At 37.6% G+C, this 21,413-nt stretch overlaps 1 long non-coding RNA gene across 12 annotated transcripts in view; it reads right to left on the minus strand.

Moving 5' to 3' along the window:
• LINC02715 (long intergenic non-protein coding RNA 2715) overlaps positions 1-18,738 on the minus strand; it is an 82,249-nt gene extending 63,511 nt beyond the window's left edge. For 4 of the 12 annotated variants that reach the window (NR_187367.1, NR_187369.1, NR_187372.1 and 1 more), the window contains exons 1-2: positions 18,485-18,738; positions 17,788-17,952 (exon numbers count right to left, since the gene is read on the minus strand). This is a non-coding gene — a long non-coding RNA (long intergenic non-protein coding RNA 2715). Of the gene's footprint in view, positions 1-17,787; positions 17,953-18,308 lie in introns of all 12 variants that reach the window. The other 8 variants (NR_187375.1, NR_187371.1, NR_187373.1 and 5 more) reach the window with 5 other exon arrangements.
• Between the last annotated feature and the right edge of the window lie 2,675 nt (positions 18,739-21,413).

Below are 21,413 nucleotides of genomic sequence, written 5' to 3' on the forward strand. Positions count from 1 at the left end.
TCCTGGGCCTACAGGCCTGTGATGGGAGGGGCTGCCATGAAGGTCTCTGAAATGACCTGGAGACATTTTCCCCATTGTCTTGGGGACTAACATTAGGTTCCTTGCTACTTATGCAAATTTCTGCAGCCATCTTGAATTTCTCCCCAGAAAATTGATTTTTCATTTCTATCACATAGCCTGTAAATTTTCGAAACTTTTATGCTCTGCTTCCCTTATAAAACTGAATGCCTTTAGCAGTATCCAAGTCACCTCTTGAATGCTTTGCTGCTTAGAAATTTCTTCCACCAGATATCCTAAATCATCTTTCTCAAGTTCAAAATTCTACAAATCTCTAGGGCAGAGGCAAAATGCCACCAGTTTCTTTGCTAAAACATAACAAGAGTCACCTTTACTCCAGTTGCCAACAACTTCCTCATCTCCATCTGAGACCACCTCAGCCTGGACCTTATTGTTCGTAGTGCTATCAGCATTTTGGGCAAAGCCATCCAACAAGTCTCTAAGAAGTTCCAAACTTTCTCACATTTCCCTGTCTTCTTCTGAGCCCTCCAAACTGTTCCAACCTCTGCCTGTTACCCAGTTTCTGAGTCACTTCCACATTATTGGGTATCTTTTCAGCAATGCCCCACTCTACTGGTACTAATTTACTGTATTAGTCTGTTTTCATGATCCTGATAAAGACATACCCAAGACTGGTAAGAAAAAGAGGTTTAATTGGACTTAGAGTTCCACATGGCTGGGGAGGCCTCAGAATGGCAGAAGGTGGCAGTAAGAGAAAATGAGGAGGAAGCAAAAGCAGAAACCCCTGATAAACCCATCGGATCTCATGAGACTTTGTCACTTCCATGAGAACAGCACAAGAAAGACCAGCCCCCATGATTCAATTACCTCCCCCTCAGTCTCTACAGCACATGGGAATTCTAGGAGATACAATTCAAGTTGAGATTTGGGTGGGAACACAGCCAAACCATATCAGGTATTACTACAAAACTTTCATAATGACTAAAATAAAAAATAGTTATAATGTTATATTCTGTCAAGCATGCAAAGAAACTGGATTACTCATGCATTACTGGTATAAATATAAAATGGTTCAGCCACTCTGGAAAATAATTTGACAATAATTATACTCTCAGGCACTTATCCCAGTAAAATAAAAACTTATGTTCATTCAAGAACCTGTAAATAAATGTTCATAGCAGATCTAATCTAAATGGCCAAATCTGGAAGCAACTCAAATGGCCTTCAATGGGTGAGTGGTTAAATTAATTGTGGTACATCCAAATCATGGAATATTATTTAGCAACAAAAAAGAATGAAGTATTGATAGATACAACAGTTTGGATGAACCTCAAGGAAATTATGGTGAGTAAAAAAGAGATTCGCAGGTCCAGATGGTTTTAGTGGTGAATTCTTCTAAACTTTTGAGAAACAAATAAAAAAATTCATACAAACTCTTCCAGAGAATAGAAAATGAGAAAATCTTCCAAACTTGCCTTATGATTTAAGAATAATATTAAAGCCAAAACCTGAAAATGACTTTATAGGAATGGAAAATTATAGGCAAATATATCTTATTATTAGATGCAAAAAAACTAACAAAATTAATCAATGATATAAAAAAAGAAATACATCATGACCAAGTTAGCTTGGTATTCCAAGAATGCAAGACTTATTGAACATCCAAAATCAATCAAATCACATTTGATTGAAAATTTTTTTAAATCATGGGATCAACAAATACAGGAAAAAATGTAATAAAATTTAATACCTGCTCATGACAAAAACTTTCAACTAACTAGTAAGGGAAACAAACACTCTCAACATAATAAATAAATATACAAAAAAACCTACATTTATCACTACACTTTACTTCACATTAATTCACTATACTTAATTGTGAATTATTGAACACTTTCTACTGAATTTTGAAACAAGAAAAGAATGTCTTTTGTCACCAGTTTTATTCAACATTGTACAGGAAGTTCTAGCTGGTACAATATGGCAGGAAATAGAAATCAAAAGCATAAATATTAGAAAGAAAGAGGTGGCCAGGATGGTGGCTTAAGCCTGTAATCCCAGCACTTTGGGAGGCCAAGGCAGAAGGATCACTTGAGCCCAGGAGTTAAAGACCAGCTTCGCCAACATAGCGATACTAAATAAATAAATAAATGGGCTTTGTGGTGTATGCCTGTAGTGCCAGCTACTCAGGAGGCTGAGATGGAAGGATCCCTTGAGCTCAGGAGGTTGAGGCTGCAGTCAACCATTATCACACCACTGCACTCCAACTTGGTCAACAGAGTGAGACCCTGTCTCAAAAATAAAAGGCAAAAAATGTATTACAGATGACATGATTATATATAAAAATTCTGAAACAATCAACAAACAAATTATAAGGATTAATATCTGAATTTTTAAAAATTGCTGGATACAAAGTTTATATTTAGAAATTCTTTACATTTCTATATACTGGAAACAAATAATTGAAATATAAAAATGAAAGTTATACCATATCGAATAGCACCAAAAGCATCATATACCTAAGAGTAAATATTTTTAAGACAAGCAAGACTCCTGCACTAAAAAATAAAATATTACTGCAAGAAAGAACAAAAAAAAATGAAGCAAATGGAGAGATATACAATGCTCATGGATTAGAAAATTCATGCTAGGCTGGGATGTCAATTCTTTCTCACATAATCGAATTGAAAACCCCAATCAGAACCCCAGCACATTTTTTTAAATTGCCAAACTGATTCTAAAATGATATGGAGATACAAAAAAATCTAGAATAGCCAACGCAAACTTAAAGATGAAAAAAGCTGGAGAACTTAAATATCTTAACTTTCAGGCTTATTATGGCTAATAATACAGCTACAGTTATTAAATGTGATATTGGCAAAAGGATAGACAAATTGATTAATGGAACAGGATAAGATCCCAGAGGTAAGTCCAAACATAACAGACACCAGATTTAATGGCAAGTCTCCACTACAATTCAGTGGGGGAAAGAATGTTATTTTTGATAAATGGTACTGTCAATTGGATATCCATGTTGATAGCCTTAATCCATCACACCATAATAAAAAATTAAAGCAAGATGAACCATATATCTAAAAGTGAATGATAAAATAACCAAATTTCTTAAAGAAAACTTAGGAGACTATCTTAAAGAACTGAGGATAATTAAAGAATTCTTAAACAGACACCAAAAGCACTAATCATAAAGACTAAAAATGATACTCAGTCAAAATTACAGACTTCTCTTTATCAAAAGACACTATTATGAGAATAGAAAGGAAAAGGACAGGGAGAAGCTATTTGTGCTACATAGATCCAAATAGAACTTGTATCCAAAGTATCTAATGAATTTCCACAGGTCTGTAAGAAGAAATTACACTATGCAATTAAAAAATGAACAAAATATCTGATATCTTCATAAAGAAGATAGCCAAATTATCAATAAATGAATGAGAAGGTGTTAAACATCATTATCAGAAGAATGCAAACTAAAGCCACATGAGGTATCCCTACATAGCCCATCAGCAGGGCTTAAATTACTGCCTGGTGAAACTTTAAAGTGATACAAATACTTTGGAAAACGGTGTGCCAATATCTACTAAAGCTGAGCATACTCCCACTCTATGACTCAGCACTTCCTCTCCTCAGTATATACCCAGACAAATGAGTATTTATGTTCACAAAAAGACATGAACAGAAATATTCATAGCAGTATTCTTCATCAATGCCCAAAACTGTAGACCACTCAAATGGCCTCAATATTAGAATGAATAAACTGTAGTATAGTTGCATGATGGAATAATATACAATCATATACAGAAATAAGAAAGATAATTCATGAATGATATATAATTCAAAATAGAAAAAATCTGAAAAACATTCGAAGTGAAAGTAGCCAAACAAGAAATAGTATATACAATATAATTCAACTTATATGAGGGGCAAAAACATGGAAAACTGGTTTGTGATGATGGAGATTGGAGTAGTATGAAACATTATGGTGAGTTCTGACTGGGATGAGACATGATAAAACCATCTAGAATGCTAGAAATGTTCTATAGCTTGATCTGGCAGGCAGAGATGTGCATATATACATGTACAATTTGCACATATGTGTAAAATTTACATATATGTAAAATCTCATTAAGCTATACACTTTCAATTTCTGTACTTTACTATTTGTAAACTATACATCAGTTTTTAAAATATATAGACAGAGATGGCTATTTCTGAAGCTCCATTGGCCTCAGAAAGAACATAAGAACATGGTCCCATGCTAAGTAAGGGACAACAGGAGATGTGGTGTTTTTAAAACACATCTGCAAATTATTTGACACCACTTCCATCCAAAAGATGAAGTCTAATTCCTTTCCCTTTGAATATGGGTAAAAATAGTTATTCACATCTAACAAACATACAAACAAAACACAGAGGAAGTGATGTTTGAAATGTGACATAGCTCCCACTTGGCATGACATTAATTCTCTCTCTCTCTCTCTCCTTCTCTCCATTTTACCTATTAGTATCCCATGGGAAAGAGAATTGGGACAACCTCAACAATGAGTTGGTGATAAGCCATATTTGTTTGTACTAAGAATTGTTTAGAGCTTTAGTTTTAGTTTAGTTTATTAGAAACAAAAATTAGTTTTCTTTGCTGCATACAAATGATTACAAACTTAGTGACTTAAAACCACCTATTTATTATCTTACAATATTTGCGGGTCAGAAGTCCAGACACAGCATAACTGGGTTCTCTGCTCATGGTTTTACATGAGCAGAGATAGGCTGCATTCTCATCTGGAGCTAAAAGCTTTCTTCCCCATGTGGTCAGTTTTTGTCAAAATTCAGTTCCCATTCCCTTGATGGCTGCTAGCATGAGTTTGCTTTCAGCATCTAGAGGCCACCCTCAGGTCCTAGCCATGTGGTCTCCGTGATACGCATTTCACAACATGGATATTTGCTTTCTTCTCTGGGGCTAACAAGACACTCTAATATTTCACTTCATTTGTAAAGGGCTTGTCTAATTAGGTCAGACCCTCATAGGATAACCCCACTTTTGATTATCTAAAAGACACCAACTATTAACCTAATTGTGGAAGTGAAAGCCCATCATTTTCACAGATTCCACCTATACTTAAGGGGAGGAACTTGTACTAGGCATGTGCATCAGTGGGTGGGCATTTTATGGGCCATGTTGGAATTCTGCCTACTACAGTTCCCTTTGCCCTGAATGCAGGGTTCATCATCGTTAATGTCAATCTTAATATGACATTAAAGACCAAGAAAATATTTTTGTGCCTATACATGTACTTATTTGCCTACTGATGAACTTATTCTCTAGGACTTCAAAAAGATATCTGAGACAGGTTATAATTAGGTTAGTATCATTAGAAAAAGGAAATATAAAAGGGATAATGCTGATATCAGGAAACTTCTATCTCTGAACATAAAACTCAGCTCTATACTTCTTAACTTCTAAAACAGAGACGGAAATAACAAGAGCTCTTACTCATGCATGTCTTACTTGCTAGAAAAAGAAACATGGAGTTTCACAGAAAAGACAAACTCTTTTCTAGTCTTGAAATCTGAAGGACTTTTTTCCTTTTCCTTTTTTTCCTGAAAGATCCTTTAGAAAGGGGAAATTTGAACAACGTTGTCCTCAATGGCAGTCTCTGTTTCACAAAAATTCAGGTTATTCAAATACAGCTTTCAACTCTCTATGAAATCCTAGGGCGTGGAAAACAGCAATCTCATAAATGTAAATCTATTCCAGGCACTCAAACATTCTATGTAAGTTAGTTCATTTAACCTTCGCAATAACAATATGAAGTAGGTATCATTATAATTATCCTCACTAACAGAAGAGGAAATTGAGTTGTAGGGAGGCTAGGTAAATTTCCCATAGTCAGATTGGATAAAGAAATGAATTTTGGAAAATACTGAAGAGTTAATAATTAATCAATCTCTTGGGCCCTGTCAAATATTGACTGCCTCACTGGGCTTTTGACAGGGGCTGAATGTCAATCAATTTCTAATTGAGATGAATGGTAGTTCTTAAAGAGTTGCTCTCCTCTGTTATTAATTGAATGGAAATCCATGTGCTCTATAATCTAGAGTCAAGATGCAAAGCTCTTAAATAGGCAAAGATGATATTTCATCAGAAAAATTGAAAAAGTTGAACTTTCATTCTTGCCTTATTGGAAGGGACCTCTGTGTGAAGAGATGGGCAAATTGCCAAATGAGAGCAGGGATAAAGGGAAAAGCAAATGTATGGATATTCATGTGCATTAAGGTCTGAATGAGGTGTTGGCAAAACCCTGGGCTTCTTTTCAGAGAGAAGGAGTTGGTAGAATAGGAAGAGAGAGAAGAAGGAAGATCTCTGAATAGAAATGAAGTAAAAGCAACAAAAATCATAAAAGTTGTGGTGCAGCTTTGTCTCACTGAATTAGGAGATAAATATCAAGGTCTTGTCTGTGTTAATAAGTTGTGAGAATCCTTGAACAGGCCCATCCCACCTGTCCAAGCTTCACCTTCATCTTTGCTAAAATGGAGACTTTTTTAATTCTTAGCTGTCACTTCACAGAGTTTTATTGATATCATTCATACATTCATAAAACCTTTAATCATCACATCTTATGTATCAGAAACTGTTCTAAGCAGTGGGAATGTGAAGATAAAAGACCCAATATTTACCCTCATAGCCTTAAATCCCTCTCAAAAAAAGCAGGGATGGATGGAGAGAGGAAAGAGAAATGACATATGTGGACAGTCTCCAGCCTCATGGTATTTACAGACTTGGAGGGTAATAGGGAATGTAATGAATGTCTAAAAGAGGCTCACAAAATAAATTGTGACATACTGAATGTATATTTGAAAGGGGTGTCTTGGAAAAGCTGACTCCTAGCTTCAATACTGCAAGTGTATAGAAACTGATTCACAGGCAGAGAAATAGGAAGCAGAATGGATGGATGGATGGATGGATGGATGTGAGCGTGGAGAACAGGCTGGGAGAAGAATAGTGAAAAGAACAAGGCTTTGGAATCAATAAGCCCTGCATCCAAATGTAAGGTATATGGTTTACTTCCTGAATGATGGCATGTTCCTTGTGGGATTACTATAAGGATTGCAGACAATTTATGGAAAATGATAAAAACTCAGTGAATGATAGTATAATAATGCTTTCTTCAGTTAGTGAGAAACTGTTGAAAAGGTCCTGAGAAAGCATAGCAATAATTGGAGAGATGGAACTAGAGGTGAGATTACCAGGCTTCCAGCTAAGAAATGGTGAGCACTCACCATAGGTAGTAGCAAAAAGATTGGCAACATGGGGGAGGACATGAAAATGTAAAGTCTCTAGGACTTGGTGAGGGTGATATCTGCTTAGGTATGGCCTCCTGGTCATATGTTGGTGCTCTTCATAGAGGAGGAAAGTTAAGGCAGGAAAATATGTTGCATTGGAGGGATGCAGTAGCGGACAGGAGCAGGGGGAAGAAATGAAGCCAGATTCATCAGTTTCTCCAGCATCCCAAGGAGAAAGGACAGTACATGTGACTAAGGACTTAGTATACCCCTGGGAGCTGATGCTTGGCATCTTCCTCTTTTCCCTTTCTGAATCCATCTCCTATCTTAGAGTCTCAGTCTTCTTGGGCTGTTCTATCATGCCCCCCTTCCAAGGGCAACCCCTAATTTATCAACCATCCCTCCTCACTCTTTTTTCCCCTTCAGCACTCTCATTTTCTCCATGCACAGATTTTAGTTGATCATATAAGTTAAATCACACACAAACCCAAAGGAACACTAACCAATGGTGTAATACGGGCACCCACAGTAAACAGCCTGGTAGCAATCTGTGCTTGGCAGACTGTCCTTCCCAGGACACCTAAAATCACATCATTTAGTTCTCCCATGTGCATCTCCAGTCCTTGATAAAGGCATATGCAAAATCAGAGACAACAAGAACAGAAGGCAGCAAATGGAATATAAAATATTGCCACAACCCCCCCACTCCACCCACTCTTCCAGCAGGAGAAAAGAAGCTGCAGGGAAATTGAGGAGGTGGGAAGACACTTTAGGGCAGAAGATGATTCTCCAGACATAGAGAGCCTTGTATTCCACTGTTCGCACCTGTTATACAATGCTATGCTGTTTTTCAGGCAAGGCAATAAGATTTGAAAAAAATACATATCACCATCAGGACCTACCAAACCATCTGTATGCGTGGGACACTTGAGAGTCTTGGGTAGAGCTACATTGATTTGAAAAAAAATGTAAATATTCATAAATACCAAGATTTGAAAAGTAGATGCCAGGTGGCTCCAGGTGTTCTCGTTACTGAATCAGAAAGTTTGTTCAGTGTACTATTCTGAAAATATGAGCATAGAACCGCACCACTAGAAGTCCCAGGAGACAACTTGCTCTCCTATTCAAATGGGGGCAAATAATCTTTCTTTTAGCTCACCTTCATCTTTCCAGATGATCTAATATGAGAGAAAGAGAGAGGAAGAGGAGGAGGACTGAATTTTTGCAACCAAACTGTGCACGTGTGATCGCGAACTATTTCATCTATAAGCTTCTTTTATGTATAGTACCTTCTAATTTGTTGGTTCTCCTTGTGAATATGATTGAGAACCACTTCTTGGGAGAGATAAGAGACTCTAATGTTGGTTTGTACAGCCTAAATTGTGTGGCCTCTTCTTTCTCCAAGTCCTTCTATATGGACTTAATATACACTCTAAGTCTCAGAGGAAACGGGCTCAGTGCTGGCACATACTTATGCATTCAATAGATGGTAACTGTTATCATGCATACCTGTAGCACAAATTTCACACATAGGATTCCCTTTTTTCCTAAATTCTTGTTTCAGAAATTTTGTGTACATTTTGGGCATATAGAGTCTCTACAACCTATATGGACTCTTGAGATGTTTCGGTAGTCCATTATTGACTTAGTTTCTACTACCAAATCCAATATTTGAACTTGACAAAAGCTTGCTTAAGGTTACTGCTTTCCCTGATTCTCCTAGGAACCCTTGCTTCCTCCCAGGGAGGCTTCTGCTCTCAAACCGTTACTAAAATGGTTGAGTATCAGCTCTAGAAAAGGAATCATCAAGACTGTAGAGGGATGGGGATCCATCTCACCCAGATTTGTTGGTTGTGGGGATAAGCAAGGTACATGCACACGCAGATGGTTAAGTACATATTTGGAAAGCTAGAGATGAGATAATCAAGAACTCATTAGTTTCCTGGTTCTCCGTCTTTCCTTCTGCATTTCCTTTCTTCCTTTCTCCCTTCCTTCCTTCATTTCTTTTTTCCAACAGTAATTATTCTGTGCCTACTACATACAAGGCACTCACTATTCTAGGTATTGGTGATATAAGAATGAACAACACAAACCAGGGTGCTGGTCATCAGGAGCTTACATTTTGGGTGTGGGGGTAGATAGACAACAAACACATGTGCTAATAAATTAGTTAATTTCAGAAAGCAGTAAGTGCTATGAAAACAATAAAACAGATAACATAGTCAAGGGTGACTAGAATAGATAAAGTGGAGAGAAAAAAGCTCTCTGAAGATTTGACATTTGCACCGAGGCCTGAATAACAAGAAGGGCACTTGGATATTTGAGAGAATGCGCATTATAAAGGGAGCAGGAAGTACAAAGGCTCTGAGGTGGAAATATATTTGGCAAGTTCAAAGAATAGAAAGGAGACCTATCTGGCTGACATGTATTAAAAGGGAGAGCAGGAGGAGATGAGGTCAGTGCAATGGGGAAAAGCCACATTACTGTGTAGGGCACAGAGGCCAGAGGCTTTGATAAGACTTTGGATTTCATTCTGATGGGAAGCCATTGGAAGGTCTCAAAGAGAGGAGTGATGTAATCTGATTTACATTTTGCAAGATAATTCTAGCAGATGGGTGGAGAATAGAGTGGAACAAACCAGTCGCCTCACTTCATAATCATTTCTATTATTAGATTTAAAAATAATTCGGTGGAGCCTCTACCCCAATCACTTGCTATTGCCAAGGCTCATCTTCAACTTTAAAGCACCAAGTTTGGTCCCCACACAGAAGTTTATGACAATGTAAAGTAGGCCCTAAAGACAATTCCCAGAAACTCCAATTTGAATGTGCACGTTCTGGCACAATTCCTTCTAAAGTTCCTCTATTTTAACCTCACCTGCATGTTAACTACCACAACACAGATAGTCTCAATCTTATTCCTCCCTGTGTCCTTCAACATCAGGTGAATATTAGAATCACCCAAGGAGACTTTAAAGATCAATAGTCATGCTGTACCACTGATCCATTAAGTCAGGATCTTCAGATGGGTCTCAGGCCTCAGTGTTTGTTAAAGCTTCCCCATGCGATTCCCATGGGCAGCCATGGCAACCACTGCCTCACAAAAAAATGGGCATTTGAGAGCTTCTGTTGGTGACGACAAGTGGCATGGGACAACAGGACATGTGCATTCCCACTGCTATGTCCCTGGAGGCCCCCAGGAAAAGGCATGATGAGCTCTCAAATGGCAGGAACATTCTGAAGCTTGAGCACACAAAGGCTCATGCAGGAGGCCACTCTGCAGTCAGCAGCACGTTGCTCTGCAGTGGGGTGCCCAGAATTGCAGATGAAAATAGAGGACATATTGCCTCTTTAGAAGGAACTCTGGGGACCTTGACAAACTCTATTTTTTTAAAAAAATGAAACAAAGGATGATTTCATCCAAATAGGATGCCTGTGCATCTAGCACCATAAAGATAGATGCCACCCCTGCTCTGAAGTGCCTGACATCCTACAGAGCTCAAAATGTAAAAGCTAACACATCTTGTCAAGCTCTAAAATAAGAGAGGCAGCTTTCCCACTTTCCTATTTAGTTTTTCTACATTTGTTATGCTTAGCTGCTAGGTTAAAACAAAAAAGAAAAGAGAGAAGATAGTAAAATAATCCCTAGCAAAGAGAAAGATGGCATTTTAGTAAAGTGGCATGACCCAGTCGAGCAAGTTTTGCGTGTTTTGTGTGGTGGTGCTTTGTTATGGTTTTCTTTTTTATGACACAGGGGCAGACAATGCAATAGAATCCTAAATCACTTTTTTATAGTTTTCCACATATTTTAGCACTTAATTTCGTTCTGCATTACATGATTTCATACTATTTTAGATGTGTTAATACTGCCAAATCTGGTAAATTTCTTGAGAACGCATTTCTTTTGTAATTTCAACAGCACCTGTTTACAGGTATGTGTTGCCTAGTGATCAAAGATTCCACATTGAGCAACCCAGGTAATACTTGTATTCTATTTTTATATTGTTTCTTTCCTCCCTGGCCCTAACTCCTAATCCTTCAAATCTTTCACCTTTTTATCTGTGCATATATGTGTGTGCGTGTGTGCATGCACATACATGACTTCAAAGGAAGCACAAGGCTCTATATGCTCACCCTAGTAACTATGAAATTTCAGGGCAGGTTGTCAGGAGTCTTAGTAAGTAAGGCACTGTTCTTGAAAGTATACCTACGAGTCACATGCCAAGCTAGTTTAGAGCTAGGTTTCCTATGTTAAGCCTCAGACACCTGCAAGAAGGGCAATGGATTCTATATGAAGGGAAGCTTAGTGAGTCAATACCCAAACCCATAATGGATCAAAATGTTTTGGGAAAAAGAAGTCGTAGAATGAATTCCCCCCCACTCTTTGAGTGCTGATTTAGATCCCCCCAAAATAGTAATTGTAACCTTGAGAAGAGCAAGGCAAACTTCAAAGGTCAAAAACTCATGCAGCCTATATGTAGAAAGTGAAGGTAGCAAGCATGATTAGCTACAATGGAGAAGAGATACTTTAAAGCTCTCAAGAGACAGAACACTTAGTGACATATGGGTGGTGCCACCTGGAATTTTCCAGCACAGAAGCCCTCCACAGGACTTCCTGGGAAGGAAAGGGACCACGAAGTTACCTCCTTTCCTGATTATACACATAGTCATGGAAGACCAAAATCAAAATCTGTCATTGACAGTGAGACACATTGGTCCCCAAAACCTTGAATCCTGCTGAGTCCTGGATCTTAAGCATTTATGAGCCTCAGTTTTCCACTAGTACTGTGGTCTAAGAAACAAGAATCATAGTCATTATTCTGACTAGAAGTTAAAGGAGAGAATTTAAAGAAGGTGAGAATTCAATGTTTCAAGAGTTATAATGTTCCCAAGAAATATTCTATAAAGCAACCCTGGGCAGGCTGATTATTAAAATCATCTGAGGGACTTCTTAACAACAATATAGAGATTCTGGATCTGCTCTGTAATGATCACCATTTCTAAAGGGTGAAGAGAGGCCTGGAATCATTTATAAAATGTTCCCTGGATGATCCTGTTGATAGATGACTGTTTTGGATAACACTGTTTTGTATTTACCAAAAAGTATAATTTACACAACCAATTAGCAGATTGTGCCCTTGACTATTTCATAACTCATAGAATAGTCTTTAATCAGTTTCCTCTTATAAGGTCTCAGTATCACCATCAGGAAAATGAGACTAATAATTAATGATCTCTAATTTTGCTGCAGAAAAGAGCTCCTTGGTGAGGAAGGCACAGAGTTGACAAGTTGCTTTCTTCTCAGTTGGATTTGCTATCATGGATTCACGTTCATAGCATGTCTGAGATCTAGATTAACATAAACAAAAAATAATCTTCTCTTGTCTCAGACTGGTAATAATGTAATAGGCTCTTTTAGCTACTTCTAAACGATGTTTGCTTTAAAACAACTCTCTATAGGGCAAAACTCCACTGAAAATTTCTAAAGTCCTGCACACTTTATGTAGGGGATTTCAACCTCTGCAAACTTACCAGAAAGAGGAACCAGGGTTGAGGCTAAAATGTAAAGAATGGAGACTGATAGAGACTTTTTTACCAAGAGGGTCACAGAAGTTCGAAATTATTTATTTAAAAGGAGGTGGGGGCCAGGCGCGGTGGCTCACACCTGTAATCCCAGCACTTTGGGAGGCTGAGGCGGGAGGATCACCTGAGGTCAGGAGTTCGAGACCAGACTGACCAACATGGTGAAATCTCACCTCTGCTAAAAATACAAAATTAGCTGGGTGTGGTGATGCGCACCTGTAATCTCAGCTACTCAGGAGGCTGAGGCAGGAGAATTGCTTGAACCCGGGAGGCAGAGGTTGCAGGGAGCCGAGATCGCACCATTGCTCTCCAGCCTGGGCAACAAGAGTGAAATGCCGTCTTGAAAAAAAAAAGGAGGTGGGTTACGTAGAAAAACAACGGGGATGACAGTATATGACTTGGTGGCAAGAAGCCAGGCAAAGCAGAAAATGAAACTAAAAAGGTCTAATATGTAAAATGCAGTGTGGTTTGATAGAATGGGAGACAGGGTACTGGGTTGAAGCCTGGCTTTACGTCGTTCCTCTTCCCTTAGCACCTTGTCCATAGGTCAGTCACAGCACTTCTAAAGTGGACCGATTTATATGTCGTGTCTCTTTTCTTCTGCTAGGTTGTAAACTTGCTGAGCACAGGAAACATGCATATGGGTCTTTGGATTCCTGGTCTTTAACAGATATTCCTGCACATGGCTGATAAATGTTGATTGACTCAGTTAAGCAGTATAGTCTTGAGATCATTATCTGTGGAATGGTTTTGCAGAAGTTCCATGAGTTAATAAAATGTTGAAAATACAAAAATTTGTCCCTAAAACAAGGATCTTGATCAGTCCCTAGAATAAAATGTTTGGGATTTATCCACAAGAGTTAATTAAGCTGCATATGGTTCTTGTTGTTTTGTTCTGTTTTGTTTTTTACTAAACTTGTCCTTTTTATTAAGCGTTTAAGAAACTGTATCACAGCTTCTCCACTGAAGTCATGCATCTGATGTTTAGGCTCTGCTGATAACCTCACTGCATTGCCTTTACAATGTGTGGGATAAAAGGATGCAACCCATGGGTGTCTGTGACCAGTTCTGTTAATAATTGTTTTCCTTTTCTCATTATACTTTGACATTTTAGAAGCCAAATGCTGTTCCACACTCTATTAGCCTCTTGCACTGGATTGGGACTGAAGTTTGGAACAAAGAGAAAGTAAAAATGTAAAAACATGTAAGACTGAAATGGCAAAACTAGGATAATAACTTTAGCACAAATCACCTGCTGACACCTGGAAATTAAGGAGCAATCACTTACACAGACAGATCAAAGGAAAGGTGTGAAGAGCCAGGGACAGAGCAGCCTGCCCCAGATGCTGGTCAGTTCCTTTCTCATGGGTGTTACCAGAGTATCAGACAGCCATTGTTGCAAAATATACAACCACAAAATTTCAGTGTCATACAACATTGAGGTGTTGATTTCATTCACATCTGGCTGATTTAGGCTGGGCTTGGCTGGGCAGCTGTAAGCTGCTGATTGCACCTAAGTCTGCCTGAGGCTTCATCCTTCTTCAATTAAATGCTTTCCAGGGGAAAATTAACTCATGGCAACGTGAGAGAAACGAGAGGCTGCACAACCAGGCAAGCCCTGACCACATAGCCAAGCCCAAACTCAAGGAGGTAGTGAAGCATGTTTTTTCCACGGAAGTGTCAGAGAAGGAAGTAAATATTTTGGAATGACTAATGTCCATAGGCAGAGGCCTAGTCTGAAGCATTTCTATAATAATGGAGATAATTGTGCTAAAGAAGTCAAGGGTAGGTGATTCTTGTATTTTTAAGTCCCGGATATTTTTACTGGGAAATGTTGCTGATAGGACAATGAGTTGATACTATCTTTCTAGGGCATATTTGCAATATATATTAGCAATTTCTTACCTATTGACTTCTAAGAATTTGTCTGAGATGTATAGAAAGATTTTTATATAAAGTCATCCACCTCACTTTTATATTAGTGAAATACTGGGGAAAATTACAGGTGTTTGGTTGAATAAAATATGTGACATCCAGATAATGGAATATTTATGCCACATTTCAGTGATGTTATACCAGAATATTTAATGACATGGGACAGTATTGCCAATATTCTTGCTTAATGAAAAAAAGCACGTTACAAAACAGCAGATATTTTGTTTTTAAATCATGTATATATGGGTATTCATACTAAGATTCTGTAGGGATATCAAATAAAATATAATAATAGTTATTTGTGGATGGAGCTAATTTTCATCTGAAATTTATTCTATCTACTATGATCTGAATGTTGGTGTTTCCCCCAGAGTTGATTCATTTGAACTTAATACCCAATGTAATAATAATATTAAGAGGTGGGGTCTTTGGGGATGAGATTTGTGTCCTTATAAATGAATTTGAAGGGAGCTGCCTTGCCTTTCCAACACATGAGGTCACAGGAAGAAAGCACCATCTTGGAAGTAGAGAGCAAGATCTCACCAGACATTGAAAGTGTCGTTGCCTTGATCTTGGACTTCCCAGCCTCCAGAAGTATGAACAATAAATTTCTGTTATTTATAAATTACCCAGTCTAATATATTTTGTTGTAGCAGTCCAAATGAGAAAAGACACCACCCTCAGCACTAGAGGAAGAATAGATTATCTGGGGACTGTACTTTCCTGTGTCTAGGATGGACCATGGTTTTGCTTCTGAAAACGGAAGTGAGTAGAAGAGATGTTTGCCCATAAATTTTTGCACGAGAGTTCTTTTCTCTCTTCCTGCTGGCTGGAATGTTGATGGCTAGAATAAACTTGGAAGACACATTGAAAATGAAGAAACTACTACCCAATTTAAAATACACTCAGGACTCTAATATGAAAGAGAAATTAATTTTTGTAATCTTTAATTCACTCAATTTGGGGGTGACTTTATTATAGCAGCTAGCATAAACTCTGACTAATATAGTGGGCTTCCTAGTGATTTTTATTTTCTCCATAATTTTCTACATTTTCCAAAATTCCTTTTTTAGCTAAATAGCAATGTTGTCATTAACAGAAAAAATAGCAAATATTTTTTCAAACCTGGACATCTTACTCCAAGATTTCCTCAAAATAATGAATGACAAATGCTTCGAACAGGTACTTTTTTTGGTTTTCTTTTCATCCTGATTAAATATATAGGGCAGAAAAACTACAGTGATTTCTGAATCCTGCCATTTCTGATACATTCCCCATATTTTGAAATACTTTTTTTAACCAAGAAAGTTTAAAAGTAGAATTTAAAATGTGAGATTCAAACCAAATTGGATTTCAGTTTCCTTCTGAGACTTGGATAAGTTGCCTAACCTCTTAAAACCGAGTCTCGGTTTTTCTCATGTGCAAACCTTCAAAAATTGTTGTGAGAATCAAATGAGTGGGTTAGGGAGTAAAAACTATATCCCAAGGTATAGCACATCATTATGAATGCTCTCTTGAGATGTAAGTTTCCTTTATTTCATTTCCTTTATCTACAAAAATTTGATCCTTGAGAACAAACACTTAATATTGAGAAATGTGTGAAATACACAATTTTGTCTTCTTAATCTTGCATTTTGACCTCTCATCCAAATATTTCACATTATTCTGGGCAGGAGAATTATAGCATTACATGACTAAATATGCCACTGAATTCCTCTTCCATGTTCATTTTCCCATTAGGCATCTGGCCAGTTGAGTTAGGAAGGGAACATGCTGACAGGCTTTTCAAGGTTAGCACAATACCCCTCCACCCCTTCTCTAGTTTATATTTCGCAAAATATAGCTGAGGCAGAGAACTGTGTTGCTCTAGGCGGAAATTAGAACCTACTTTGTATAAACACAATTAAAAAGTAAAGAGGAGGGGGAGATGCAAACAGAAAAAAGCCACAGTCTGCAAAAGCACTGTATGGGAATTTCACTGCATATGTTTTCTGAAAGACTAGAAATAACAGTATACATACATAATTATGAAGCTCAAATTAAGCTCAGTAACTCCTACAGCCACTCTTAACCTTTTCTTTATTCTGTACCTCTCCTGTCTCATTAAATTAGAATACTGAATCTACTTTAAATCTTATACTTTACATCTATGGACAAAGCATGTGGGCACGTGCGCACACACACACACACACAAACACACTTTTAGATTTTAGCTCTCCTGTTTTTGTTCTTCCCTTTAAGAATATTCTTTTTATATGTCTCTCCCACCCCCACCCCCAATATATTTTTCCATTATTCTTTTGACCTCATCGCCTCCCAACTGCTAGGTTCTTCAGTCTTCTTTTCTTCTCCTTAATATTTTCCTGCCTTGTGTATTCTACATTGTATACATTCCCACTTTTCTGAATCTTGTCAAGGTGAATATGATGAAGTTGTCAGAAAGATGTGTTCACTTATGGTCCCCTTAAATTGCCATGCTGCATTTTAACAGTCGCTTGTATGAATGTGAGATTTTAAATAAACTCTCCCGAAATAGCTCTCAGTGAAAATAAAAAATAAGAATGAGAAAGTTTTTATGTATATGGACTTGCTGATATCTAGCATGAAACACTAATTCTGCCTGGGATGCTTTTCTCTCAGGGAGCATTTGCATTCTTGCACCAAATAGGACTGAAATTGCCATAATGAATATCTGAACAACACCCTCTGTTTCATGGTTTTGAACTCAATTTGATTCATGGCACTACTTTCAAAGCTGCATTCCCCTGGAGCAAACAAAGTAGTCAGACATGAAATCTGGGCACCAGGTACCAGGTCAGGAGTTCACCAAGGTTCAAGGCAAGGAACTATAAACGACATTCATACGGAGATGCCCAATTGTTATTCCCAGAGAAACCAGAGAACTGGCCAGTTAGCCAAGAGAGGAGCAGGCCGTGGGAGAGAGGCGACTCACATGAATCTTGAAGATCCTGATGCCTCAGTAGTGTTTGAGCAGGGTTATGAGGAGCAGCCCACATGAACCTATGAGAGAATTATAGATGTGTGAACTCTATCATTTGCAGAGAAGTGGCAGGGAGGAATCAGGTGATTGAGGCTGTTTTAAAAAGGACACAAAATCCTGCAAGATGAATGGAAATGACAATTAATAGTATGCCTACCATTTATAGAGCACTTTTCTCCAACCATGCATTACTCTAAATGTGTCTCATGTATTATCTCATCTAAATATAGGAGGGATGGCCCATCAGAGAAAATCATGGAGAATCAAAAATTAGAATTGGAGAATCCTGGGAGAAATAGGACCAAGGAGGTCTCAGCCAGAAATGAAAGAAAAGCACTTTTAGCAGATAAAATAAACCATTAGATAAACAGATGCTTTTTCTTTGGACCAATACTTTCTTGAATAAAGACATATGCAAATTACAAATTATTGCACCCTTATTGTATCTGCACTGTGCTAAGCCTTGTGCTTACATTATCTTTTTTAGTCTTCACAAGAAGTCTGAAATGTAGATATCTTACAAAAAAACTTGGGTTTTGAGATTTTTGGTAACTTCTCCAAAATTATAGAGCAAGAAAATGCTGGAGGCAGACTTTAAACCCATAACCACTTTTTCCCCAGTCTCTGGCCTTTAACCACCACAGTATACCATCTCTGGTCTTTCTTTTTCTCTCTTCCTATCTGGATTCTTTCTGTTGGCGATAGTTTTCCTCTCACCCTCATCGACGAATATGAACCTGTACGTATTTGCGTTAAGAGAAACCATGAAATAAAGACTTGATTACATTCATCAGGACAGAATGTCTAAACTCTTCTCCTGAGGCACAATTGACACCATCCTAAACTCAGCAAAAGCACACAACACTCTTTCACTCTTTCACCAATCCTATTCACACTTCAGATGAGATCAAACTCTCCTGATGCCAAGTGCTTAACGCGACATCATACAGCCCAGCTTTGTGTCATAATAGCAGCCTGCATTTCTTTAGCACATGCCATCCCCACTGATACCAGAGCAAACTACAACGATGGCCCAATATGCATCTTTATTTAGGTTTCTCTTTACCCACTGGGCACACAGTTTCTCAGATCCTTGAAGAATTTTCCAAGAGTTCTAAAGAAGAATGAAGAAAATGTGCTGGATAGCCATTTTTAAAAGAATAAATTTGAAGCTAGAAAACTTTATAACTATATAGAACTGTTTAATGCCATAGAGGTTAAATGTAATAATGTAATGCTAAATGCTACATTTAACCCCTATGGCATTAAACAATTCTGTATAGTTATAAATATTTTCTAGCTTCAAATATATTCTTTTTAAAATGGCTATGCAGCACAAGTTCTCTTCATTCTTGCTACATTCATGCTACATTCTGGAGCCCCAAGAATATTTTTCTTTGAAAGGTAACACCGTGCTAACAGCCTCTCTAATTCTGTTTTCTATATTTTAAAAAATTAAATGTTTGCTTGCTTAATAACCATTGTGTCTCTCTACTGTCCTTAGTGCTAGTTGAATCTTTTGAATGAGTGCAATGTTTTTCATCACAGCCTGCAGAGAAAATGTCTTCTCAACCATAGCACTCATGAATTGTTCACTTACAAATAAGTCAACATATTGTGAACACCATTTGGGTACTCATCTAGGTGCTGGAACGTAAGGGGTAGGGGCAAAAATACAGAAGATGTAAAAACTATACCTGCTTTCAAGAATCTCACAATATCACAGGAGAAGCAGAGTCTGCACACTTCACCACTTAATGTTGCCACCTCTGCAGTTGAGAACTCAATGTACTGGAAGTTGCAATGATCCACTATTGATGGGGCTGGAAGCTGTGTTGACTTACAGTTTGGCTCCACAGGAAAAAAAAATCTGTTGATATTTCAAAGACTTATGAAAGAGGCTCTTGGGAAAGAGTAAGAACTTGGGAAAGAGTAAGAACCAGGGCCCAAGTGTTCACATAGCCATGGAAAGGGGTGGGATTATCTAGGGAGGGAGTTCAGGTGTAAGGGAGAAGCTAATAAAGGAAACTGACAAGGGATGGCCTACTGGTAAGAGGAAACCATAAGAATGTGATGCTAGAATGGCCTAATAGGAAAATGTTTCACAGCGAGGTGGTTTATCAGTCTAGAAAAGTATCTTTTGCATTTGGCAACACATAAGTCGCAGTGATACTCATTGATGTGGTTTTGGTGGCATAATAAATACAGAAGCCATATTAGAAAAGAAAAGGGGAAACAAGTTATATGGACAATTTTTTCTAGCAGTTTGGGTGGAGGGATGTTGACTAGAGGGATATGATGACATGGTAAGTTTTCATTTCATTTTTTTAAATTAAGATGGGAAATATCCAAACATATAGGAATGACCCCATGGAGACATAGGGATTGATTATGTTTGAGAGAAAAGATAATTGAAGTAGGAAAATTCTTGAAAAACTGATAACAAAAATATAATTAAAAAGGAGGGAGGGGCTAAAGAAGAGACTCATCCAATATCTCTAGCTGGTTAATGGAAGTAAATGGATTAGAACTCAGGCCTATGCTTTTTTTTTCTCAACCACAGCTTTTTAATGCCATTTGCTATTTATTTTTTATCCCAACAGTCTATAACAGTGAGGCAAAGAGAAAGAAGCAGTAATGTTTTCATGACAATTCAATTGCACAAATTAAGTTTCACTGTTAAGGCACAAATGGATTTTCAAAGAACATTCAGTGAAAATATAAATGTAATTAAGAGAAAAGACAAGATACATGTCAGAGATCAGTATAGTTGAACAATGGCATTTTGATTCCTGTATTTGCATGGTATAGTGATTAAGGTGAGCTTAGTCAAGCTTTACAGTATACTCAAGTATCTTTTAGTTGTGTAATTTCCCAACATATCAATCCCCAGGAAGCTGGAAACCTCAGTTATTTTGGAGTGTTTTCCCTGGTCATTCCTTCTTGCTTATGGGACTCTCATTAGCTTGGTTTCTACTTCTCCTCCAAGTTCTAGTTGAAATTATGAGACCACCACAAGGAAATGGAGAAGGTGGAATACAGTGTTTCATCTCATCCAGGACCATCAATAAAGCATCAAGCATATTGGGGGTTTTATTTTATTTCATTTATCAAATATTCAGTGTGAATTTTGTGCCAGAAACTAAGTTGGGCTATCTTCACTCTAGGTTGTGAAGTTGTGTTTCAATAAAAGTGCAAGAAACAAAAAAAAATTAAAAATAAAGGATCTTATATAAGGCAGAATAAGTTCTGTTCATTTATTCTGACAAGTCTGATGGAGTTTTAATTACAAAAACATGTAACAATACACAGATAAGCTTATTGTTGTACATCATGTAAAGTTAATGAAATAATTATAATGAAGGATCTCACTGTGGCAACAGGCAGCTTAATCCTTGTAACTTTTGCAAAGAGAGAGACACTATCAGAGTGTGTGTGTACATGTAATACTATAAAATTTGTTCTGGCATCTAAAAGTAAAGGTTGATATTCATCTTCATACTCAGATATATATACTCATCTAGGTTTTCAATTTGTATTGTGTGTGTGTGCATCTGTGCACACGTGTGTGGTTTTGC

This window comes from Homo sapiens, chromosome 11, assembly GCF_000001405.40.
Source record: "Homo sapiens chromosome 11, GRCh38.p14 Primary Assembly".
Taxonomy (NCBI): domain Eukaryota; kingdom Metazoa; phylum Chordata; class Mammalia; order Primates; family Hominidae; genus Homo; species Homo sapiens.